The following is a 26,754-nucleotide window of genomic DNA, read 5'->3' as shown; positions in this document are numbered from 1 at the left end:
TGAAAGTCCTTAAGTTTCAATACTAGTTGGCTGAATAAACTAATCCTCCCATTGGGAACAAACTAGAAAAGCTGAACCAGATATATATATATATATATATATATATAGATAGATAGATAGATAGATAGATAGATATAGATATAGATATATTACATTTTACGGCATTAGAGACCATTCAAGACAGTGAAGAATTATGGGGCTAACATACAAGAGAAAAAGGAAACCCAGAGATGTGAGCCTGACATATGAGGCTACTTTTCCCCTAGATATATCTTCTAGTTCAAGATAGTAGAAAGGCTGATAAGTTTTCAACAGTCTTAAAAGACTAAGAGGGCTTCCTGGGGAGGGGTGCCCTGGAAAACCTCCCACATTTTAGGTTAGGATCTTTAAGGACTGACTACATCATGGGAGAAAGGGTGAACTGGAAATAGACTAGCCCTCACAGGGACTAAATCTTGGCTTCAAAACATTCAACCTCTGATTTAAGCAAGATGTTTTAGGATTGCTAGTGCTTCTAGACACCTGCAGGAAGCAAATGTAAATCCTTTCCAGAGAAAGATAACATCCAGAACTTAAAATTATTTCTATTAATTTTTCTTACAGCTTATCAACCACTCAATTGAAAATAGGCATACAAAATTAGATGATTGAAAACCAAGAAGAACAAAACAGTAGAAACAGACCCACAGAGGGTTTATATAATGAGATTATCAGACAAGGACTTTAAAGTAATTCTGCGTAATATATTCAAGGAAAGTAAAGGCAAGATTGAGAATTTTGGTAGAGAACTGGAAATCATAAAGAAGAAACAAAAGTTCTAGAACTGAAAATGCAATAACTAAAATTAAGAAGTCAATATCAGGGGTTCAAGACCAGCCTGGCCAACATGATGAAACCCCATCTCTACTAAAAATACAAAAATTAGCTGGGCCTGGTGGCACATGCCTGTAATCCCAGCTACTTGGGTGGCTGAGGTGGGAGAATCACTTGAACCCAGGAGACAGAGGCTGCAGTGAGCTGAGATTGTGCCACTGCACTCCAGTCTGGGTGACAGAGCAAGACATTGTCTTAAAAAAAAAAAAAAGAAGAAGAAGAAGAAGTCAATATAGGAGTTTAAAATTATAGCATATTAGATGCAGTTGAAGAGAATCAGTAACTGGCACTGGAGACTGAGATGGGAGAATCCCTTGAGCCCAGGAGTTTGAGGCTGCCTTGAGCTATGGTCATGCCACTGCATTCCAGCCTGGGTGACAAAACAAAAAAATCTAGAAAAAGATAAATAATTAACGACTGGTGAGTAGATCAGAAGGAAATTCAGACTGAAGCATGAAGAAAGACAAAAGGATGAAAAACATAGAGCAATGTGAGAAATTATTTGCAATGGTTTTGTAGTTGTTGCTCTTGCTGTCTTGGAGCAAGCCCTCAGACTACCATGTGAAGAGCCCATTCTAGCCTACTAGAGAAGGAGAGGTCACATGAGCAGAGATGAGTTGTCCCAGCTAAGGCCTCCTAGTCCTACTAGGACAGTCAGCAGCACCACATTTGAGACATGTAAATGAGACCATATTTGACCATCTAACCCCAGTTGAGCTGCCAGATGACTATAGCTGCATGAATTACTCCAGGCAAGATCAGAACTGCCAGTTGTGCCCAGTTCAAAATGCTGATCCACACACTCATGAGCAAATAAAATAAAATGGTTGCTATACCAAGTCACTAAGATTTTGGTAGTTTGTTAGGTATCAATGGATAATTGACACAGAAATTGATACCTAACGGTATGATGTTGCCATAACAGAAAAGTAAAACGTAAGACATTGACTTTAAAACTGGCTCATAGGTGTAGGCTGAACATTGGTGAGGAGGATGTTAATGAAGACTGGAAGAATGATGAATTGTTAAGGGAGGCTGGAAAAGCAGTGTAGTAATTGTTACTGGAGTCTGGAAAAAAGATCCATGTTCTGTAATAATGGAACAATTGGCAAAAAAATGTTATCTGAGGTAACTTGGAAGACAAATAATATATTTAATGAAGTCATGGATCTGGTTAAGGAGCTCTCTACAAGTGTTTAAAGTATCTGTGGAGTGCTTCTAGTTGCTTATGCTAAAAAACTGTAAAAGAGAGGTAAGCTAAAGAAGATGTTTTGCTTACAAGCAGAATTTACAGAAATGTAAAGGACCCAGAACTTGTTGAAAATAGAATTGTTTCTCATCCCGAGTCTCTCCAGCTGGCAAAAGATTTGCAAAGTAAAAAATGCCTCAGAGTAAAGACCAAGTCAAGAGTGCCTGTGACTTTAAGGCCTCAGAAATCTTTAAGGTAGTAGCTAATAAATTACCCTTTCAGCTAGAAAGATGCTTCTAAGTATCTTTTTTTTTTTTTTAATGCTTTCAGCTGGAAACATGCTTCTAACTATCTTTTTTTTTTTTGTTTTCTTGAGAGGGAGTCTCACTCTGTCGCCCAGGCTGGAGTGCAGTGGCGCGATCTCGGCTCACTGCAACCTCCACCTCCCAGGTTCAAGTGATTCTCCTGTCTCAGCCTCCCGAGTAGTTGGGATTACAGGTGCCCACCACAATGCCTGGCTAGTTTTTGTGTTTTGACTAGAGATGAGGTTTCACCATGTTGCTCAGGCTGGTCTCGAACTCCTGACATCAGATGATCCTCCCACCTTGGCCTCCCAAAGTGCTGGGATCACAGACATAAGCCACCATGCCTGGCCCTAAGTATCTTAAGGGTACTGTCTCACAGCATCCTGACGTGCCCAAAGTATAGAGAGGTCTATGCAGACATGAGTTGTGGATGTGTCTCTTTGGGTGAGCGGTGAACCCCAATATGATTCATAGGAAACCCACAAAGTTGTCAAGAGACTTGTGTTGATGAATGCACCAAGGGACTGAAAGGGCCAGAAACAGTTCAAAATGAAAAGTGACCTCTGAGCCTTAAACTTTTTAATGAGCAGGAAGCAGACAGAAAGCTATTCAGCTGTAAATAGCTGTCATTTCAAATAAAAAGAGGGATTTCTCAGAGAGTGGAGTCAGGAGCCCAGAGGGCAGAGCTAGGAGCAGGGGATGCCATGGATTAAGGACCTACTCCCAGGGAACCAAACTAGATCCTGAAAAACAAAACAAAACAAAACAAAATGAAAAGCATTCCTGACCCTGGAGTAAGGGAATCTGACAGCATGTACCTATCTGGATTTCAGAATTGCTATGGACCAATGACTACTATGTACCTCCTATTTCCTCCTCTTTGAACAGCAGTCTCATTTGCAGTTATCCCCTCCCAATATCATCATAAATATTGGGAGTGTTGGGCCAGATAACTTGTCTTCTTAGTTCCCAGGTCTTTGGATCAAGAGAAACTGTACCTGAGGAGTTGCACCCAAGGAACCTCATTTTCTTCTGGACATGACTCATGAGAAAATGGACGTCAAGCCCAATGCCATGATTGGATGAGACTTTGGGGGTCTTGGGAGGGGGTGAGTCTATTTTGCATGTGGGAGGTATGTGAATTATTGTGGCCATAGGGTAGAGCATAGTAAGTTGTTTGCAAGAGATGGCGACAATAACTCCTCCCATTCCTGTATGTACACCCTTTGCAATGTGACTTTGCTGTTCCTCCCTTCCAGGGGTGGCATCTATTTTCCCTACCCCTTGAATCTTAGCTGGCTTTGTGGCTTGCTTAGACCATTAGAATGTGGCCAAAGTGATGTATAAATTCGAGAGCCTAGACCTCAAGAGGCCTTACAGCTTCTTCCCCTCTTGGAACACATCACTGAAGAAGCCTAGTCTAGCCTGCTGCAGGATGAGAAGCCACCTGCATTGGAGATGAACGATTCCAGCTGAGGCTCCCTAGACCTACCAGCCAGCAGTCAGCACAAATCACCAGACATCTGAGTGAGACCATTCTACCCCACTCAAGCTACCAGATGATGATATGTATGTAAGTGCAAGACCAGAAGAAGAACTGCCCAGATGAGAACAACATCATAAAAGGTTGATGTTCTAAGCAAGCCACTGAGTTTTGAGATGACTTGCTACATGGCAAAACAGAGCAAAAAAGATACAGAGCATAAAAGACATATGGTTATGTGAAATGGTCTAACATCATGTACTTTAAGTCTCAGAGGAGAAGAGAAAGAGAATGGAGCAGAAACAATAATTGAAGAAATGATGAAGCAGAAGCCATATTTGAAGAGAGAAAAGCTAAGAATTTCTTTGAACAGATAAAAGATACCAAGGACAGATTCAAAAAGCACTATGAGCCTCAAGCAAGACAAATACAAAGAACCACATCTATGCTTATCAGAGTAAATCTACCACCCTCCCCCCTATAAAAGACAGAAAGAGAGAAAATCTTAAACCAGCTGAGGAATAAAGATTACTTTCAAAATAGTAACAATAAGATTGACAGTTGGCATCTCAGTAGAAACAGTGAAAGCTGAAAATCATTGGGATTATTTAAAGTGCTGAGAAAAAAAATAGTTACCATTTTAGAATTCTGTCCCCAACAGTAATATTCTTCAAAACTAAAGATGAAAGTCCTTTGGCTGCAACAATACCATATATGATGTAATGTGAACCAGGAAAGTATCTTGTCTGGAACAAGTTGTACATTTGGTTGTACAGAGTACAGGATGGCAGTATTTTGCCCTGTTGTTGGATTTGTGTATGTGCCTATGTTTTCAAATATTTTGTTGTTTACCTTTGTGATGCACCAGATGTTCGTATGTTTTCATATTTATCAATTAATATTGGTTATGTAAGAATGCAGCATCTTAAAGATATTAAAGATGACAGCATGGACTGTATTTTATTCAGTTTTGTATTTCTGCTGATTAACATGGTTCCTGACACTTCTGGACATCTGCTTGTTGAAATCAAAGTAGCTTATCAAGATAGATAAAAAGTTTAAAATTTAAGAATTGGTTTTTTTTTTCCCCCTTTTCTAATACAGGTTCAAGCTGAAGTTCCTGGATCTCCCATATTTGTGATGAGACTAGCCAAACAATCTCGTCATCTGGAGGTGCAGATCTTAGCGGACCAATATGGCAATGCTATCTCTTTGTTTGGTCGTGATTGCTCTGTACAACGCAGGCATCAGAAGATTATTGAAGAAGCACCTGCTACTATTGCTACTCCAGCAGTATTTGAACACATGGAACAGGTACATATATTAAAAGGCTTACTTTATGTTTTCTTACATAGAACATTTTTCATTCAGTTCATGTACCAATCTGAGAACAATGGCATTTTAAGCAACGATTCTGAATAATTAATAAAATTATATCCTTTTCTTAGAGAAAAAAAATTCTACTGTTCTCCCACTAAGAGAATTGTCAAGGAACATGTCAAGCTTCTAAAAGTAGTTAACGCTTTCTAAAAAAAATCAGCGTACCATTTCAGGATACAGGGATAAAGAAGAGAAATGTTTTGGAATTTTTAATCTTATGATTGATTTTTTTAAGAGGCTCATAATCAGGTAGTTTTATTTGCTGGGTTGAGTATCATCAAGTCTTCAGCTGAATTTAATCAACTCTATTATCGTTTTTGGAAAGTCCTCTAAATATCTTCAGAGTTCACACATTCTATCTTTTTGTATAGAAAGTAGTTTCTCAAAGTCATGAGCGATGCCTTCGGAATAACTATAGTTTAGAGGCCTGAACATAGTCTTTTCTGGAGTCCTAACCCAGTCTCTACATCAAAATAGATTCTTCAAAATATATTTCATGTGTGTTAGAGGTCTATTTCCTATGTTGTGTATATATTAGGATGTACTCTTGAACTGCTGTAATAAAGATGCCTTCAAAATACAGTGGCTTGGCCGGGCATGGTGGCTCTTGCCTGTAATCCTAGCACTTTGGGAGGCTAAGGCGGACAGATCACTTGAGCCCTGGAATTCGAGACCGGCCTGGGCAATATGGTGAAACCCTATCTCTACTAAAAATACAAAAATTAGCTGAGTGTCATGGCACACGTCTGTACTCTCAGCTGCTTGGGAGGCTGAGGTGGGAGGATCACTTGACACTGGGAGGTCAAAGCTGCAGTGAGCCTTGATCATGCTACTGCACTCCAACCTGGGTGACAGAGCAAGACCCCATCTCAAAACAAATAAATAAATAAGCAAAATACGGTGGCTTAAACAAGGTGTAAGTTTCTATTTCTCTTTCATCATAGTTCAGAGATGAGCTGTTACCAGAAACAGGTTTATTGCTCACCTGTTGCCTGTTTTTGTAAATAAAATTTTGTTGGAACACAATGATGCTTATTTATTTATGTGTTATTTATGGCTGCTTTATCACTACAATGGTAGAATTGAATAGTTGTGACAGAGGCTATATGGCCCACAAAATTGAAAATAATTACTATCTGGCTCTTTACCAAAAAAGTTTGCCAAACTTTGCTCTTGGACATTGTCATCTTCATGATTAAGCTAACTCACACAAGATTATGTTCACATTGTGGCCTGTGGGAGGAAGAGACAGGGGATGTGGAGGGCAAGCATATGGAAGCATGATCTTGAAGTCACATACATCACTTCTGCTCACATTCCACTGGACAAAATTCAGTTACACAATTATACCTAGCACAAAGGATGTTAGGAATTGTGATCACTAACTGGGTGACCATGTGCTCAGCAAAAATTTCGATTTTATTCCTAAAATGATGAAGTAGAGAAAAGTCACTGGAGGGCATTTCATAATCTGTGCCTCAGTCTGTTCCTCTGGCTACCTATTATCCCTTTATCCTTTTTCCTACTTTCAGAGCACACATAGCCTTTGTCCAAGGAAGACAACCTGAAGCCCCATCCAGTTACTAGTAACTGGATGGGTTATTACTGGAGGTGATTCCGGATCTCTATATGATGTATATTCTTCTCCATTAGATATGTATTGTGGCTTTTCATGGGCCAGTGACTCAAAATACAAGTTATTTACCCAGTATTATATCCCCTGCCTTCACCATACACCCATATACAATGATGGAATAGGAACAGGATAACTCTCATTTGGAAAAATGAAAAATACATAGCAATCGTTGGTCCATAGCAGTTATCAAATCCTCCTTTTTAGGTAGGAATTGCAATGATTCCCTGCTATATAATAGAATACTACCTCAGTTAGACCTGGCTGTCCCTGGTTCTGCTACTGCACACTCCAGAGAAGTGCAATAAGGGAGTAAATCCCTTGTTCATTGTCCTTCAAGACACCTGACATTGTTTTCTGGGAAGTTCTTCCTCATTCAGTTTTCTCTGTGAGTTGGGCTTTGGAGACTATGCCTTCTTTGGCAGAACTTTCACAACCCACTTCCTGCTGGTGCAGGATTGAGGGCACAAATATCCCAATCATCAGTCGCAGGCTTTTGAAGGCCAGGTTTGTGGTTTGTTTAGAAATACAATTCCTTCAAATACTTAACTAAGCTTCTGGGCTATTTGCTTGCAATCAGCTTTGGGTTGGATTAATCATACTCATAGATTTCTTCTAGATATAGAAACTTTTCTTCTATTATTTACTGGCTTCTGTGCTTAGCCTATCTCTCTTGCCTTGATTTAATATTGGCTATCTTGGGGCCAGCTGAAACTAAAGCAGCACGTTTGATCTTTGACACTGAGTTGCTTCAGGGTGATAATCTCATTTTCTGTTTGGGGGGATACAAAAGAAGTTGGCTTTTTCGACACTCTGACCCTTTCAGACCATCTTTTTTAAGGTTTAGTTGGTGTGTGGTCAGTATCCCAAGTTATTGTAGGAAACAGTTTACCAAATGTTGTGTTATCCCAACAAGGAGATTATCACCTTTCCAGCCTGCAGTATCTGTTTCTCTGCTACCCACTACCCTTTTGCTAAGCTAGCATCTCATATTTTAATATTTTTAAACAGCAACATTCTACCTGCACTTAATAATTCCTGTATCGATTAGGATACAGGTTAAACTGCTATAACAAAAAGGTCCAAAAAACACAGCGGACCCCCCCAAAAATAGAAGTTTATTTTTCTCTCCCATCCTAGTCTGAGGTGAGCTTTTCAGGGCTGGTGGAAGTGTTTTATTCCACGAGACCATCTTGGGATTCAGGTTCATTCTTTCTTTTCTTTTTCTTTCTTTTCTTTTCCTTTCTTTTCTTGGTGTTCTTAGTGTGTTCTCATTTGCATGATTGAAGTTGGCTTATACTATCATGACTATGTTCCAATGAATAAGAAGGAAAAAGCCAGGAATAGAGAATGAGACATTTCCTTTTCAAAATATGACTTAGGGCTGGGTGCTGTGGCTCACGCCTATAATCCCAGCACTTTAGGAGGCTGAGGTGGGCGGATCACCTGAGATCAAGAGTTCGAGACCAGCCTGGCCAACATGATGAAAACCCATCTCTACTAAAGATATAAAAATTAGCCTGACATGGTGGCATGTGCCTGTGATCCCAGCTACTCAGGAGGCTGAGGTAGGAGAATCACTTGAATCCGAGAGGCGGAGGTTACAGTGAGCCGAGATTGCGCCACTGTGCTCCATCCTGGGTGGGTGACAAAGCGAGACTCCATCTCCAAAAAAAAAAAAAAAAAAAATATATATATATATATATATATATATATATATATATATATATATATATGACTTGGGAGTTATGCATATCACTTACCAATGCTGGTGTCCTGTTTGTCAAAACTTAGCCACTAACCAGGCCAGGCATGGTGGCTCACGCCTGTAATCCCAGCACTTTGGTAGGCCAAGGCGAGTAGATCACTTGAGGTCAGGAGTTTGAGACCAGGCTGGCCAACATGGGGAAACCCCATCTCTACCAAAAATACAAAAATTAGCCAGGCATGGTGGCGCATGCCTGTAATCTCAGCTACTTGGGGGGCTGAGGCAGGAGAATCACTTGAACCCGGGAGGCAGAGTTTGCAGTGAGCCACGAGATTGTGCCACTGGACTCCAGCCCAGGAGACAGAGTGAGACTCTGTCTCAAAAAAAAAAAAAAAAATCTAGTCTCTAACTAGTTAGCTATGTTTCTAGGAAGAAGAGGAGCATATTGGAAATACTGGAAACTGGACAAGAGTCTGTCCCCATGTTTTTTTGTCTGCATGCATTTATGTCTGGTGGGGTGAGGTTGCTTTTGATGCAAAGTGAAAAATGCTCTTTTCTCCCGATTTTTCATTGAGTTTTTCATCCTTGTCCAGGGATATTGTATAATAATCAGAAATGTGCTCTCATGTGGCTAAAAGCTTTTGATGGCTCTTATACACACTGAACAGTTGAGTCAGTGAGAGGCTGTAGTGGTCTAGCAGTTGGATAAGGTGAGATACTTATGTTTGCTTATCTCTCTTCTTTGAGTGTGCGGTGAAACTTGCCAAAATGGTGGGTTATGTGAGTGCTGGGACTGTGGAATACCTGTACAGCCAGGATGGCAGCTTCTACTTTCTGGAATTGAATCCTCGGCTGCAGGTAGAGCACCCTTGTACAGAGATGGTGGCTGATGTCAATCTCCCTGCAGCACAGCTCCAGGTGAGTCTCCCTGATCTGGGTTGCAGAGCCTAGAAAAGTCAGAGAGGCCTGAAAAATGGGTTTAACCAGTGTGTGATAAGAGAAAAGCACCTCCTATCTGAGTCACACCTAATGGTCATTTCTCTTTCACCCTGTATGTGTTATGCATGTGTGGTTTGGTTTTCCTGATGTAGTACAGACATAGGAATGTTATTTTTTCTAGCCAGACACATCTGATATAATGTGTCATGTTTTAGAAATAAATGTTAATAATGTATGCTTTATTCAATTATTTAGCTATAGTAAACTTCACAACTTTGTATTATAATTATTCCCTACTCATTTTTGTTTTTTTACTAGTGTTCTTTATTGAAATAATTCTGCATCAGAGATTAGTGGTTGAAGTTTTTCCTTACAAGAGTGTGGTAGCACACATATATTTTTATAATTTGTAAAGTGCTTGCTGTCAATATTATTGTCTTCTCTCAGCCCAGGAAACAAATATTATGGAAAGCAGTAATAGTTAATGATAAGGCTTGATATTATTTTTATCTAACATTTGCCCACATCGAGAACACCTTCTGGGTTCCTATTAAAGACTAAAGATTTACTTACTTCCTCCAGTGGTTTGCAGGGATGGAAGAGATAATTATGACACAATTAAGACTTTCTAGCTGTCTGTTTTTGGATGGCTATTAACATTTACTCCTCTGTTGGATATTTTCATTCTTATTACGTGATGGAGAAATGACAACAGGGGAACTGGTGTCTGTTGCATTAGGAATGTGGGGACTTCTTTAGAAGTGGAGAATATTCTAACTACTTATCTGTAGTGATATATTGTATTTCAAGCAACTTAGAGTTGATGATTGTAGAATACAGGTTATAAAAATAGAATGTTTTAGGGAGTGGCTCCAAAAATAAAAATATTTTAGGTTATCTGATAGCCTCTACACTTTAAGGGAAGTAACTGAAAAATTAAAGATGTGTGTTTTATTACCTTTCAGATTGCCATGGGGATTCCTCTATATAGAATCAAGGATATCCGTATGATGTATGGGGTATCTCCCTGGGGTGATTCTCCCATTGATTTTGAAGATTCTGCACACGTTCCTTGTCCAAGGGGCCATGTTATTGCTGCTCGGATCACTAGTGAAAATCCAGATGAGGTAACCCATCACTTAAAAGGTTTATACCTCCTTTTAATGAACTTTAATGTTAAGATAGTATCTGAAAGTATACTTCTGAAATATCTTGGGACTTCCTCTGGAGTGGGAAACATAGAGGTTTCTCAGAGCAGATAAGTAAATGGTTGTTGCTTCATTGGTTACTTAATCCCACTTAAGTCACTGTAGAGTCTTCAGTGGGTCTGTGGCACTGGGTCTTGGCCTTTATCATTTTTGTGTGTCTTCTCTGCTTCTGTGTGTGATTAACAGAGAACTTAAACAATGAATATATAAATCTTCTCTTCCTTCGAAACATAATATGGTCTCTCATTCTTTATTCTCTAACAGGGTTTTAAGCCCAGCTCAGGAACAGTTCAGGAGCTAAATTTCCGCAGCAATAAGAATGTTTGGGGATATTTCAGTGTTGCTGCTGCAGGGGGACTTCATGAATTTGCTGATTCTCAGTTTGGTCACTGCTTTTCTTGGGGAGAAAACAGAGAAGAGGCAATTTCGTGAGTATAATAGCATTTGATTGCATTTTACAAAATAAATTTGTGCTAATCTTAAGTGAAGGTGTGAGCATGGGAATAGGAATCATCTGCTGTCAAAGTAATAATATGAACAACCTTTTTGAAGAAATTTTGAATATCTTTAATTACACTTGCATTCATGTTGTATTAAATTATGCAGTGCTTGGCAGATGTTTTTCTGTTTGTTGTTCTGAGCCTTTTGAAGTATTTTTCCTTTCAAATATTTTTGATAAATGTATAAAATTGATTGCTTTAAAGGTATCTTATTTTTCCACAGGAACAGTATTGTTATTGAGGGGAGGTAGATTCTTGGCCAAGAACTAGGTATCAAATAAATCATAGACTTTTATTTTATTTTTTTCTTGTGAGAAGACTTAAAATCTATTAGCAATTTTCAAGTACACAATCTATTGTTATGAGCCATAGTCACCATGATGTACTCTTATAGTTATTTAAAATAATAAAATTATACTGCTCATATTATGAAAAGGACATAAAGAAACTGTCTACATTGCTAATACAAGAGACCTTAGCATGCTGTATATAACAGCTTATGCAAATATAACTGCTATATCATAAATGTTAGATAATATTCTGTTAATCATAAACAATGAATATTAAATTAACAGCACTTTTGCTTGCCTAAAACATAGGGCTGAAGGAGGTAATTTTAACAGCTTAGATCTTTTGGAATATCTATCTAAAATTGAAACTTGAACTAGTTCTTTTCTGTTTTTTAATGGTTTATTGCCTTGTATCAAACATTTAATACCATTCCCTTTACCTTTGTACTGTACATGGAGTAGGTAATTAATAAGTGTTTATTAGTATTAATTACTAATAAATAGCATTTGTTTATTAGTAATTAATCCTAATATATGGTTGTTTGTATTAATAAACACTTATTGATTAGTTTTATATTTTTATCAATTTCCTGAATTAATTAATTTTAAGAGGCAGAGTCTTGCTCTGTCACCCAGGCTGGAATGCAGTGGTGCCATCATAGCTCACTGAAACCTCGACCTCCTGGGCTCAAGCAATCCTTTTGCCTCAGCCTCTTGAATTGCTGGGACTGCAGGTGTGCACCATCATGTCCAGCAAATTTTAAATTTTTTGTAGAGATGGGGTCTCCCTTTGTTGCCCAGGCTAGTCTTAAACTCCTGGGCTCTAATGGCCCCACAAAGTGCTGGTATTATAGGCATGAGCCGCTGCACCCAGCCTTGATTAATTAGTTTTTAATATTATTTTTAGAAGTAGGGAAATCTCATTATTTCTCTATTTTGTCCTTTACATTTCTTCTCATTCTTCAAAACTATAAGTGGAATTTTTCAAAATTAAAACACTGCTACCAGAAAAAAACATTGGTATGAAGTTGCCTTTTAAGCATATTCGCTGCCATATTATGCTCTGCAAAGTGAAAAAGGTTTACACTAGAGCTTGCAAATTGTTGGCTTTCTGGTGAGTCTCAACATACAGATGTGTTTTGATGGGCTCACAAAGTGTTAATTTTTTTTAATTTGACAATATTAAAAAATCAGGAGATTGAAATCAAAATATGGATTTCTGCTAGCTCTTAAAAGTAGGACTATAATGACAACATTGGTTGTACATTCTAGTTGTTAAAAGTTAGCTAATTTTGCCTGGGCACGGTGGCTCACACCTGTAATCACAGCACTTTGGGAGACCGAGGCTGGCAGATCACTTAAGGTCAGGAGTTTGAGACCAACTTCGCCAACATGGTAAAACCCCGTCTCTGCTAAAAATACAAAAATTAGCCAGGTGTGGTGGCAACTGCCTGTAATCCCAGCTACTCGGGAAGCTGAGGCAGGAGAATCACTGGAACCCAGGAGGCTGAGGTTGCAGTGAGCCAAGATCACGCCATTGCACTCCAGCCTGGGCAACAAGAGCAAAACTCCGTCTCAAAAAAACAAAAAACAAACAAACAAACAAAAAACAGCTAGTTTTGTGTGACTGCTTCTTTTCGACGGGACATAAACTTTGTAGTTAACACAGCTCCTATTCAGTCTGCCTCACTCATTTATGTTCCCAGACTGGCCTCTGTTGGCATTTAGGTTTAAGTCCTGATTTGGCAGACCACTGTGTATTTTCTTCAGGGAATGTCCTATAACCCAATCCAGAAGCCTTGTTCCTTATTTCTGACCAGCTCTGTACATTTGTCTACAGTACAAAGCTAACTAGCTTAATTTTTAGCATGTTAAAAATACGTTATCTACAATAAGTCTCCTTCTTGACACTATGCCAAAAGTTCATTCTTCAGCTTAGAGCTTTCTTTGTTTCTTATTTCTTCATTTCATTAGGTCTATATCTCAGCTTGGGGTTTGGACTCTTGTTTGCCAGAATGCCCCAACTCATATATTCCAGTATATTCCAGTATAATTTCCCATGGGTCATAATCTAAATACCATGAGAACAGGACTGTGTCTTGTTACTGCTATATCCCCTGAACATAGTAAGCATTCAGTAAACGTTGGTTGAATGGATTAGCCACTCATTCCTATCCTTATACCTCTGCTTCAATCATACCATTCCCTGAACTCAAGCTGTATTTTCCTTTTTTTTTTTTGAGACAGAGTCTTGCTCTGTCGCCCAAGCTGGAGTGCAGTGGCACGATCTCAGCTCACTGCAACCTCTTCCTCCTGGGTTCAAGTGATTCTCCTGCCTCAGCTTCCTGAGTAACTGGGATTACAGGCACGTGCCACCATGCCTGGCTAATTTTGTCAACCTGTATTTTCTTCCCTCTGCTTCTTTGTTCTTGCTATTTCCTCTGTTCATTCATTTATTCTTTTTTTTTTTTTTCTGACATGGAGTGCCCGCCACCACACCCAGCTAGTTTTTGTATTTGTAGTAGAGACGGGTTTCACCATGTCGGCCAGGCTGGTCTCGAATTCCTGACCTCGAGTGATCTGCCCAACTCGGCCTCCCAAAGTGCTGGGATAACAGGTGTGAGCCACTGTGCCAGGCCCATTCATTCATTGTATTCAACAAATATTTACTGAGTATCTGCTATCTACTGGTTCTGGCAATACAGTGAGGTCCAAGATAGAATCTCTCTCCTCACAAAACTTTACAATCCAGAGGGTGTAAGACAATTGGCAGTTAAAATACAATGTATTAAGTATGATGATAGTCAGATTATTTAAGGGCATTATAGGATCATACAGATGAGTCAACTAACTCAGTCTAGAGGGGTTCTGGGAAGGTATCCCAGAAGACAGTGACATCTAGATTGATAATTGAAGTTTGTAGAAGTAAGTCAGGTCAAAGGAGGACACAGAAAGGAGGACAGAGGTGGGCAACAGAATAATATTTTAGGCTGAGGGAATGCCTGGACTACCTGGAATATGATTCCTCTCACAGTTATAATTATCAGCTATACTTTAGCCCATGTCAGTTTCCACATTTTTCATGAAACTGTAGGGAGATGAATTTCTCCCTTCTTACAACCTCTCCAGAACTTTGTGTAAGTATTCTGTCTGGCATTGATGATATTCTGCCATATATTTTGAAAGTGATTATTGTATTTATGTTCTTTCTTCCTTACAATCATAGTATGTGTCTTATTAGTATGAGGTACATAATTAGTATTTGTGGAAGTAAGTACCTGTCCCGTGCAGGATAGACACTGGGCATAAATATACAGAAAAGCCCCATAGTATTTGAAATTCTGCTAAAATTGGATCACTTTGCACTTAACTGGGAAGTAATAAAAGTAATGAGCAAATCATTGCATAGATATCCAAAATGCAGTTTTAAAAAAAACACTGTCACATGCAGTGTCAGGCTGATATATGACTGCACCCAGAGAGTTGCTTTACTGTATGGAAATCTTTAAATTAAGCACTTGGGAAAATTCATTGAACTGTATACTTAAAATAAGTATATTTTATTGTATGTAAATTATACATAAAATAAATAAGGTACAAGGATAGGGAGAATTAATGCCCTAATTCTTGTTAGCCAACAACAAATGAATGGAATAATGGAAACTTAGTAAGTAAAAGCTGAGGGTGACTTGCATATAATTTGTTATAATTTGTTCTGTACTCATTATAATGAAATGTTTCTGATTTGCTGATGCTCTTATGGTAATATCAGTTAGAATTCATACGTTTTCTGACTTTTTGCAAATTTCCCTCTCTTGAATGCACATGAATGAGCACACTTGACATGTGCACCCTTATTTGTTTTTGGAACTGCCTCTCTCCCTTCCCTCTCAAGATTCCAAAGGAATGAAACAGTTCTTTCTTTTATTTTTATTTTTATTTTTTTGGGGGGACAGAGTCTCGCTCTGTCGCCCAGGCTAGAGTGCAGTGGCGTGATCTCTGCTCACTGCAAGCTCCGCCTCCCGGGTTCACGCCATTCTCCTGCCTCAGCCTCCCGAGTAGCTGGGACTACAGGCGCCCGCCACCACGCCTGGCTAATTTTTTGTATTTTTAGTAGAGACAGGGTCTCACCGTGTTAGCCAGGATGGTCTCAATCTCCTGACTTCGTGATCCGCCTTGTCTTGGCCTCCCAAAGTGTTAGGATTACAGGCGTGAGCCACCATGCCTGGCCAAACAGATCTTTAAAATTATTGAAAAACATTAAAGTGTTTGTTGCTGAAACAGATTGGCTTCTGTTCTCCCAGAAACATGGTGGTGGCTTTGAAGGAGCTGTCTATTCGGGGTGACTTTCGAACTACAGTTGAATACCTGATCAAATTGTTAGAGACTGAAAGCTTTCAGATGAACAGAATTGATACTGGCTGGCTGGACAGACTGATAGCAGAAAAAGTACAGGTGTGTATTTCTCCACAAACAGATGCTGGGATTGGGTTTTTATAGACTTGTGTACTCAATCCCTGTCACTACATGAAATTTATTTGATTCTAATGTAAATGGTTCTTGATCTACCTGGAAAAATCTAGGAGTCAGTGTAATTTTAGCACTCTGATGGTTCCTGTGCTTGTGTCACACAGTCATTTTATGTTCTAGCATTACTTCCTGAGGTATATTTGAAGTGAGGCATGCAGGGATTTAATTACTTTCTTTTTCTTCATTTAATGTTAAACCTGGTCCATAGTTGCCAACTTCTGTATCTACCAGATGCTGAAGAGAGAGGCCTCATTTAGATCAAGAGTTATCACTTATTCCTTAATTCCTGGGGCTATGCTAAATTATCCAAGATTTTGTATAAAATCGTTAGATTCATATAATTTGGAGGTCCAAATTTTGGCTATACACCGTTTTTCTTTGAGATTATCAGTAGCCAAATCGTTGTGTCTTTTTAAATTTATTTCTGTCAGAAGCCTATTTTTGAGCTATTCAATGATTGGCTAAGTGGAAGTCTTAGGGAGAAAAGAAGAAAGTTGTTTTTCATTTCTCTTCAAGTGGTGCCTCTAATCAAATTCTAAAAGTGAATGTGTTCATTTTTATCTAAAAAATCAGTTGGGCAGTGAGAATGGAGATTTTCATTGCTAGCTGTTTCATCACAACAAATTTGAGCCTGATTTCATTTGAGAGGCTGTGGTGCCAAGTGACCATGCATTTGATCTGCCCTCTTTTTCCTCCTTTCAGGCTGAGCGACCTGACACCATGTTGGGGGTTGTGTGTGGTGCCCTCCACGTGGCAGATGTGAGCCTGCGGAATAGCGTCTCTAACTTCCTTCACTCCTTAGAAAGGTAGGCTTTGTTTCTTGTAGGCTACACAAACTAATCAATGGTCCTGAGTACAGGGACTGAAGCTCAAAGACCCATTTATTCTTCTGTCCATTCCTGGCAGCTTATGAGTGCTACTTGTTATTCATGGACCATGGTGGCAAGAAAGAGGGGATGTTGACATTTATGGCAAATTATTTGGGGAGTCAAACTGCAGATTCTAGACATTAACTTATACCACAGTTAGAACAGGTTGCTTCTTTAAAAACTGGAATCCATCTGCAGTAGTTATTCTGTCCTGTATAAGTATCAAATCTCTCCAAACCCTGGTGATAAAAATCTGGTATTTCTCCCTAGCACTGAACCCTAAATATTTCATGTATTACTTGTACCACCTTTCAGAAGTAAATAATTAAGGCTGATATTCAGGATGACCTCATGAGTCTTTCAAGTAGAGGGTCAGACATCTATGGGGCTAAACTAATTTCTATTGCTGATTGAGGAGACTAAGCTCTGCCTTTGAGTCCCCAGAGGAATGTTCCAAGTGGCTAATCATTTTAAAGCACTTTAATCACAGGCACTTTTATTTCCTTCTGTGTTGTTAGACTTATATCAACTCCCTTTTGAGGTATCTGAAAGAAAGAAAAGAAACAAAATTTAAAAATTGAACTGAGATTTCAGAGTTATTCAAGTCCTATGATAAGTATCTTTCACTATGTTACTCTCATGTAGTAAAACCTTCAGCAGCTTGGCATTTCTCTTCTGTATCAAATCTAAATCCCTTGGCGTGACTTTCAACTCCCTGTATACATGGGCCGCTTTTTACCAATCCAGTCTTATTTATTTCTGTTCTGCAACATATAATCTGTAACCTAGTTAAATAGTTTTCTTATTGGTGTACAAATATGTCAAATGCATTTTCCTCTACAAGCCCCCCACCCACCTCCTTTTAAAATGCTTTTGTTTTTTACTTATTTTATTATTTTTATTTTTTTTATCTTTGAGACAGAGTCTCGCACTGATGCCCAGGCTGGAGTGCAGTGGCGCAATCTCGGCTCGCTGCAAGGTCCGCCTCTCGGGTTCACGCCATTCTCCTGCCTCAGCCTCTCGAGTAGCTGGGACTACAGGCACCTGCCACCAGGCCCGGCTAATTTTTTTTGTATTTTTATTAGAGACAGGGTTTCACCGTGTTAGCCAGGATGGTCTCAATCTCCTGACCTTGTGATCCACCCGCCTTGGCCTCCCAAAGTGCTGGGATTACAGGCGTGAGCCACCGTGCCCGGCTGCCCGGCCTTTTTAAAGACTCTCAAATAAAGTTTCAGTTGCTAGGAGCAGATATGCTTACACTGAAGTTTTATAATTTTTTCGCGTTTAATCTTAATCTTTTTTTTTGAGATGGAGCCTTGCTCTGTCACCAGGCTGGAGTGCAGTGGCGTGATCTCTGCTCACTGTAACCTTCGCCTCCTGGGTTCAAGGGATTCTCCTGCCTCAGCCACATGAGTAGCTGGGACTACAGGCACGCACCACCACGCCCAGCTCATTTTTGTATTTTTAGTAGAGACGGAGTTTCAACATGTTGGCCAGGATGGTCTCGATCTCTTGACCTCGTGATCTGCCTGCTTTGGCCTCCCAAATAGCTGGAATTAGAGGCGTGAGCCACTGCGCCCAACCTTAATCTTTATCTTTAAGAACAGTTAACACATTCATGTGGTTCAAAATTCAAAAGGCACAAAAAAGATAAGCAGTGAGAAGTCTCTCTCTTACCTCTGTTCCTTGGCCATCCAGTTTCCGTCCCCTATAGTAAATTCATATTACCAATTTCTTTTCTAACCTTCCAAAGATACCCTAAACTTACATGAACATATATATGTGTATTAGTCTGTTCTCACACTGCTAATAAAGACATTCCCAAGACTGGCTAATTTATAAAGGAAAGAAGTTTAATTGAGTCACAGTTCCAGATGGCTGGGGAGGCCTCACAATCATGGCGGAAGGCAAAGGAAGAGCAAAGACACATCTTTCGTGGTGGCAGCCAAGAGAGAAAATGAGAGCCAAGTGAAAGGGGTTTCCCCTTATAAAATGATCAGCTCTCGTGAGACTTATTCACTACCATGAGAACAGTATGGGGGAACCGCCCCCATGATTCAAGTATCTCCCACTGGGTCCGTCCCACACCACAAGAGAATTATGGGAGCTACAGTTCAAGATGAGATTTGAGTGGGAACACAGCCGAACCATATCAACATGCAATATTTGTTTCTTCCCACCTCCTGGTTTTTTAAAACTCAAATGGTAGCATGCTGTGAAGCTGTTATTTACCTTGCTTTTTTAACTCAACAGTATATTTTTTAAAGTGTTTTTTAGTTCACATCTTTTTAATGTCTGTATGTTTTGTTCCACATGTGAAAACATGCGCAACATCACTAATCATTAAGTAAATAAAATCAAAACCATGATGAGATACCACCTCACACCCATTAGGATGCCCACTGTCAAAAAACAGAAAATAGCAAGTATTGGCAAGTACGTAGAGAAATTGGGACACTTGTGCACTCTTGATGGGAATGTAAAATGATGCAGCCACTATTGAAAAATGGTATTGCAATTACTGAAAAAATTAAAAATAGAATTACCCTATGATCTGGTAATACCACTTCTGGGTATTCTGAAAGAATTGAAAGCAGGGTCTGAAAGATACTTGCACAGCCACATTCATAGGAGGATTATTCACAGTAGCTAAAAGATGGGAGCAACTCAGATGTTGGTTGATGGATGACTGGATAAACAAAATGTGGCATATACATACAATACAGTATTATTCAGCCTTAAAGAAGAAGGAAATTCTGACACATGCTAAAACATAGGTGGATCTTAAGGACATTAGGGCAAGTGAATTAAGCCTGTCACAAAAAGACAAATACTATATGGTTTTACTTATATGAAGTATGAAGAGTAGTCAGACTCATAGAACTAGAAAGTAGAATGACGGTTACCAGGAACTGGGGGGAGGGCGAAATTGGGAGTTGTTAATGGGTGTAGAGTTTCACTTTTGCCAGTTGAAAAAGTCCTGCAGATTGGTTGCAGAATAGTGTTAATATCCCCAACACTATAGAACTGTGCATTTTGTAATGGTTAAGATGGCAAATTTAATGTAATGTGTATTTTACCCTAATTTAAAAAAATCCATTGTAAGATTCATAATTGATGTGATCAATTCCTTACAAACGATCATTTAGGTATTTAGGTTGTTTCTAGTCTTTTGTTATTCTAGGAAATGCTACAATCAATAATGTTTTAGATTCTCTTATAACTGTTAGAACTTTGTAGTAAGTTCCTCTCTCATCGTTCTTTCAGGGGTCAAGTCCTTCCTGCTCATACACTTCTGAATACAGTAGATGTTGAACTTATCTATGAGGGAGTCAAGTATGTACTTAAGGTATGCAGAACCCCATTGGAGCTTGCACCTTACTTTTTTAGCTATCTTTCTTTAGGTTGAGAGGCAGGAGAAAAAGTTTGATTTAATGCAGGGATGGGGGTATTAGTGAAATTACCGTCATTATTTTTGTCAGTGTCCTGAAGCAGCGTTTGTTGTTCTATGAAAATCTTTTTTGTTGTTCTTCAACTTCACATACACTGCCAAGAGATAAAGGAGAGACAGAGAACAACCACAGTTGGGGAAAATCAACTAAGGTTGCCCTCTTTGCTTACAGCAGGACTGAGCCATGTCCACAGACACTGATGCAAATAGCATCAGTGCCATGAATTTTCTTCCTCCTGACAGATCTTTCTTATCTGTATTTTTGAAGCATTCAAATTTCATTTGGAGCTGTACCTGGAAGGGACACACTGATCCTCATTCTCATTCCCTACAGGTGACTCGACAGTCCCCCAACTCCTATGTGGTGATCATGAATGGCTCATGTGTAGAAGTAGATGTACATCGGCTGAGTGACGGTGGACTGCTCTTGTCCTATGATGGCAGCAGTTATACTACGTATATGAAAGAGGAAGTGGATAGGTAAGTGGCTGTTTGAGGTCCATTTGCTGGTCATCCTGTTAGCCTTTTCTCTTATTAGCTACTAGCTCTTGGGATTTTCCCAGGCTTTTCTTGGTACTCATTTGTAGTTAAAAAAAAAAAAAATAGTACATGCACTTAACAAAAATATCAAGAGTATTAAAGTGTTTATAATTAAAAACATGTCTCCCTACCACTCCAGTGTATGTGGACAATGAAAAATAAGTTCCCCTTTTTATAAGTAACCATTGTTAAAAGTTTCTTACATATTTGAGTAGAAATTTTATATGCATATACAAGTTACACTCATGTACATACTGTTTTTCTTTAAATACATTCACAAATGTGGCTGGGCGCGGTGGCTCACGCCTGTAATCCCAGCACTTTGGGAGGCCGAGGCAGGTGGATCACCTGAGGCTGGGAGTTCAAGACCGGTGTGGCCAATGTGGTGAAACCCTGTCTCTACTAAAAATACAAAATTAACCAGATGTGGTGGCTTATGCCTGTAGTCCCAGCTACTTGGGAGGCAGAGGCAGGAGAATCACGTGAACCTGGGAGGTGGAGGTTGCGGTGAGCCGAGATCACGCCATTGCACTCCAGTCTGGGCAACAAGAGCAAAACTCCGTATCAAAAAAAAAAGAAATTCACAAATGTTCAACACCAGTTATGGTGTTATGAGAATGAAATAAATTAACATGTTGAAAATGTGTAGAACATTGCCACAACATAGCTAGGCTTCAAGAAATGTTAGCTATTACGTCATCAATATCTTTGTGTGTGTTTTTTTAAATGGTGGTACCTGTTATTTTTAATAGTCATGTGGTATTCCATTATATGATTATACTATATTTAATCTGATCCTTATTGAAGGAAATTTATGTTAATTGACATTGTAAACAAATATGCAGTGAATATGTCTGTGTGTGTGTATAATAAAGTTTTCAGGATTTTTTTTCTTTGAAGGTTGACATTCTCTACCATTCTCCTTTACATCCTGAGGTGCTTTCTTAGCTTACATACTTCCACTTGTCTCCTAGATATCGCATCACAATTGGCAATAAAACCTGTGTGTTTGAGAAGGAAAATGACCCATCGGTGATGCGCTCACCTTCTGCTGGGAAGTTAATCCAGTACATTGTAGAAGATGGAGGTCATGTGTTTGCCGGCCAGTGCTATGCTGAGATTGAGGTCAGGGTGGTGAAAGGACTGTGGGATCATGGGAGGGGAAGGTAGGAAAAGGGTCGGCTGGGATGGACTAGGACTGAAAAGTTACAGAAAGGAGGCTGGGCACAGTGGCTTGTGCCTGTAATCCTACCACTTTGGGAGGCTGAGGCAGGAAGATCGCTTGAGCCCAGGAGTTCGAGACTAGCCTGGGCAAGATGGTGAGACCCCATCTCTATGAAAAATTAAAAAATTAGCGGCGTACAGTGGCACATGCCTGTAGACCCAGCCACTCTGGTGTCTAAGGCGGGAGGATCCCTTGAGCCCAGGAATTCAAGGCAGCAGTGAATGGAGATTGTACCACTGTACTGGAGTGGTACAATTTGTGGCCTGCGTCACAAATCAAGACCCTATTTCTAAAAAATTAAAAAAAAAGGTAACAGATTGGAAATAAGAATGAAAAAGAAACATCAGTTGGCTTAATTAGAAGTGCGAACCTTAAGATTTTTAAAACACATAGGCAAATGAGGAATCTCTAGTTCTAAAAATAGATACTAGGCAATAGCACTTGTTGAATGTTAGGTGTCCTAACTGCTGGCTATCCAGAGAAAATACATGGAGGTGGGGCACAAAACAGACAAGAAATGTCATGTGATTAATTTTAAGAGAGCTAAGCATAGAGTGCAGAGGGTCACCTAACCCAAATCAAGCTAAGCTTGTATGGGAAGATATTCTGAAAGAAGAGACATTTGATCTTAGTTTTGAAAGACAGATAGTGATAGAGCAGGTGAAGAAGGGCAGGGAAGAGTGCTTAAAGTTGAAGGAATAGCATGTACAAAGACAGAAGCAAGACAGCACAGTGTATTTAGGGAACTGCAAGTATGTGTTGGTGTGGCTTGAGAATAGACTAAGGTTTAATGGGGAGGGACAAGCAAAGGTGCTAAAGAAGTAATGTGAGATCTTGAATGTGAGGTTATGAAGGATCTTATAAACCATACTAGTAAGTTTTCACTATCCTGGAGGCAGCAGGTAATCTCTGAAAGATTTAAGTGGAAAAGTAGTATGATGAGATTTGGGGTCTAGGAAGATTGCTTTTCGTGACCTTGAGGGAGGTATGTAGCAAGTAGGGAGATCTCTTAGGGGGTCTTTGAAGTACTTTGGGCCAGAAATGAAGAAGGCGTAAACCGAAGAGTTGGCAAGAGAGGAAGATTTTTGAGAAAGGTTTAGAAGATATGTCTGGCTGGGTTGGTAATTGGTAGGTAAGGGAGAAAGAGGAGTGAAGAATGATCCTTAGGTTTTGGCCTGGTTGTCTTAGATTGGATTCACTGGTATGAGGATATTAAATTGTTCCTTACTTTCTAAGTACAAAACAAATATAATCACAAATTATGCCAAAATGGTTGTAAAAGTTAGAAAGGAGAAATGTCAATAACTGTTATTAATTCCTAAAGTGAGGTACTGAGAGATTTTCTAATTGCTTGCCTTGATAGTCCCTAGGAGATGATGGTAAATTCCCATTTTTTCTTGGTCAAATTAGGTGTGGTCCAACTTAGATGCTAAGGGAAAAATTTTAGTTCTTTTAAGCACTCATCTGTGTAAAGAGAGATAAATCTGAGTCTAGTTTATTTTTCACTATAGGTAATGAAGATGGTAATGACCTTAACAGCTGTGGAGTCTGGCTGTATCCATTACGTCAAGCGACCTGGAGCAGCTCTTGACCCTGGCTGTGTACTAGCCAAAATGCAACTGGACAACCCCAGCAAGGTTCAGCAGGTGAGTAGGAAGGTGCTCCGAATATTGCTCTCTAAGAGCTAAAGAACTTGGTGGTTTGGAGAGGCAAGTGATTTCAATGCTTGGTTTGCCAGTGTTTTCTTTAGCTTTGTCCCCTATTAATCTTATGCCTTGTATTTGTGCCTGTAGTATTATGGAACTAGAGTTTGCAAGAGTTACTGTAGTACTAAGATTCTGTAATTTCCTTATGATGTTTCCTCTATTGACTTCCCTCCTGGTAGCTGGGTATGATGTCTCGATTTTGAATGATAACTCTTAAGTGCAGTGGTGTGTTTGTACCTTAGATCAAAAGTAGTAGATGACTTGATCTCTTGTTGGGGTTGACAGGCTGAACTTCACACAGGTAGTCTGCCACGGATCCAGAGCACGGCACTCAGAGGCGAGAAACTCCATCGAGTGTTCCATTATGTCCTGGATAATCTGGTCAATGTAATGAATGGATACTGCCTTCCAGATCCTTTCTTTAGCAGCAAGGTATGTATCACGTCTCCTGGGGAAGGGATGTACAAATGGGATACCTATTCTCCAAAATAGTTCCAAGTCTCATAATGATTGTTTAAGAGGGAGGAAAAGAAAGCTGTTTGGCCTAGAACTCTTTCACCTTCAGTTGTGGGACTTGAGGTCTTTAAATCCATGTTTCTTATCCTTGTCATGGACTTCACATTTAATTGTGATTACTCCTTTTTTTTTTTCCTCGAGACGGAGTCTTGCTCTGTTGCCCAGGCTGGAGTGCAATGGCACAAACTCAGCTGACTGCAACCTCCACCTCCTGGGTTCAAGTGATTCTCCTGCCTCAACCTCCTGAGTAGTGGGGATTGTAGGCACGTGCCACCAGGCGCGGCTAATTTTTTTTTTTTTTTTTTAGTAGAGGTGGGGTTTCACCACGTTGGCCAGACTGGTCTTGAACTCCTGACTTTGTGATCTGCCCGCCTCGGCCTCCCAAAGTGCTGGGATTATAGGCGTGAGCCACTGTGCCCGCCCGTGATTAGTCCTTTTTAAACTGGAGAATAGGGGCAATGTTAGATGCTTACGTTGCAATTTCAAAGTACTCTATGATAGTTGGCTCACGCCTGTAATCTCACCACTTTGGGAAGCTGAGATGGAAAGATCGCTTGAGGCCAGGAGTTTGAGACCAGCCTGATCAACATAGCAAGACCCCATATCTATTGAAAATTATATAAATTTTTATTGAAAAGAAGTAGTATATGATAGTGAATTCAGATATAGTTGACTCTTGAACAATACAGGTTTGAACTGTGTGGGTCCACTTATATGTGGATTTTTTCAGCCAAACATGGATCAAAATTACAGTATTGATGAGATATGGAACCCACAACTATTTCTATACATGGGTTCCGTAGGGCTCAAGTATGTGCAGATTTTCATATATGAGTGGTGGTTCTGGAACCAATTTCCCACGTATACAGAATGACAACTATATATCTTTTTATTTGGGGGATTGTGTTAACTTGGGTCCTATTTTACCAATGCTTTCTTTCTAGGTAAAAGACTGGGTAGAGCGATTGATGAAAACCCTCAGAGATCCCTCCCTGCCTCTCCTAGAATTGCAAGATATTATGACCAGTGTGTCTGGCCGCATTCCCCCCAATGTGGAGAAGTCTATCAAGAAGGAAATGGCTCAGTATGCTAGCAACATCACATCAGTCCTCTGTCAGTTTCCCAGCCAGCAGGTATTTATAGGATAACACTATATTTTTTTCTGGCTACCAATGCCAGAGTTTATGTTGTAGGATTCCTTCCTATTTGGATCCTCCTTACTTTTTGGATGTTGTGCTTGTATACTTTTAAGCATTGTATTCCTCACAAAACTGCCTCAGGGTACAAACCCAACAGTGAAAGTACTGTATGTGAAGGATAAGTATCTGTAGTTATGAGAAAAGCACACTTGGATCATGTATACCTTATAGCTTTGTTCCTGGGGCTATTCCCTAATTAGAGGTATTTTCATGAATTGAAAATAGAGTGATATTAGTTGATTGATTGATTCATTCATTCACTCATTGATTTAGAGATGGAGTCTAGCTCTGTCACCAGGCTGGAGTGCAGTGGCTGATCTCGGCTCACTGCAACCCCTGCCTCCCGAGTTCAAGCAATTCTCCTGCCTCAGCCTCCTGAGTAGCTGGGATTACATTCACACGCTGCCATGCCAGCTAATTTTTGCATTTTTAGTAGTCACGGGTTTCACCATGTTGGCCAGGATGGTCTCGATCTCCTGACCTCGTGATCCGCCCACCTCGGCCTCCCAAAGTGCTGGGATTACAGGCGTGAGCCACCGTGCCCAGCTGTTTATTTATTTATTTATTTATTTTTGAGACAGGGTCTTGCTCTGTCGCCAAGGCTGGAGTGCAGTGGTGCGGTCATGGCTCGCTGTAGCCTTGACCCCATAGGCCCAATGGCTCATCCCACCTCAGTCTCCCAGGTAGCTGGGACTACAGATGTGCACCACTATGCCCAGCTAATTTTTAAAAAATTTTTATAGAGATGGGGGTCTCGTTATGTTGCCCAGGTTGGTATTGAACTCATGGGCTCAAGCTATCCTCCCTCCTTGGCCTCCCAAAGTGCTGAGGTTACAGGTGTGAGCCACCACACATGGCCTATTGGTAGTTTTATTTTCAGAGACATTCTTACTACCTTGGCAGCATCTTTACTCTTTACCCATAAAGCAGATGTATGTGTAGGGAATATAGGTAGATAAGTGGGGAGTGATGTTTGGATCTTGACCTTGAACAGATATTGGTAAGATGATAGTTTTTGTAATGTAGTCATTAATTCATCTGGGAAAGGGTGACAAGGGATGAAATCTGCTTGCTTATGTAGCGTGATTCTCTATATAGACTACGCCTGGTAACTTCCAGCTGCTGCCAACATGTGAGATAGGAACTGCCATGTTATAAGAAGAAGATTCCTACTGGTCGTGCTATAGAGGCTGATGCTTTGGGGCATTTT

At 39.9% G+C, this 26,754-nt stretch overlaps 1 protein-coding gene and 1 non-coding gene across 27 annotated transcripts in view; one reads left to right on the top strand and one right to left on the bottom strand.

Annotated features, from left to right (window-relative positions):
* Positions 1-26,754, top strand: part of ACACA (acetyl-CoA carboxylase alpha) — a 321,845-nt gene that overhangs the window by 137,988 nt on the left and 157,103 nt on the right. For all 26 annotated transcript variants that reach the window (XM_011524701.2, XM_006721853.2, NM_198834.3 and 23 more), the window contains 12 exons: positions 4,955-5,164; positions 9,319-9,489; positions 10,476-10,637; positions 10,983-11,146; positions 15,813-15,963; positions 16,741-16,844; positions 20,175-20,256; positions 20,693-20,838; positions 21,873-22,023; positions 23,635-23,769; positions 24,115-24,261; positions 25,290-25,478. In XM_011524701.2, coding sequence (XP_011523003.1) covers positions 4,955-5,164; positions 9,319-9,489; positions 10,476-10,637; positions 10,983-11,146; positions 15,813-15,963; positions 16,741-16,844; positions 20,175-20,256; positions 20,693-20,838; positions 21,873-22,023; positions 23,635-23,769; positions 24,115-24,261; positions 25,290-25,478 — 1,812 coding nt within the window. The remainder of the gene's footprint in view (positions 1-4,954; positions 5,165-9,318; positions 9,490-10,475; positions 10,638-10,982; positions 11,147-15,812; positions 15,964-16,740; positions 16,845-20,174; positions 20,257-20,692; positions 20,839-21,872; positions 22,024-23,634; positions 23,770-24,114; positions 24,262-25,289; positions 25,479-26,754) is intronic.
* On the bottom strand, positions 23,874-24,048 carry SNORA90 (small nucleolar RNA, H/ACA box 90). Its single transcript, NR_132772.1, has one exon. It is a non-coding gene; the product is annotated as a small nucleolar RNA, H/ACA box 90 (small nucleolar RNA).

The sequence above is a fragment of the Homo sapiens genome, chromosome 17 (genome assembly GCF_000001405.40).
Source record: "Homo sapiens chromosome 17, GRCh38.p14 Primary Assembly".
NCBI classification, from domain to species: Eukaryota; Metazoa; Chordata; class Mammalia; order Primates; family Hominidae; genus Homo; species Homo sapiens.
Note: the sequence above shows the minus strand (reverse complement) of the source record. Positions and strands in the feature narration are given on the sequence as shown.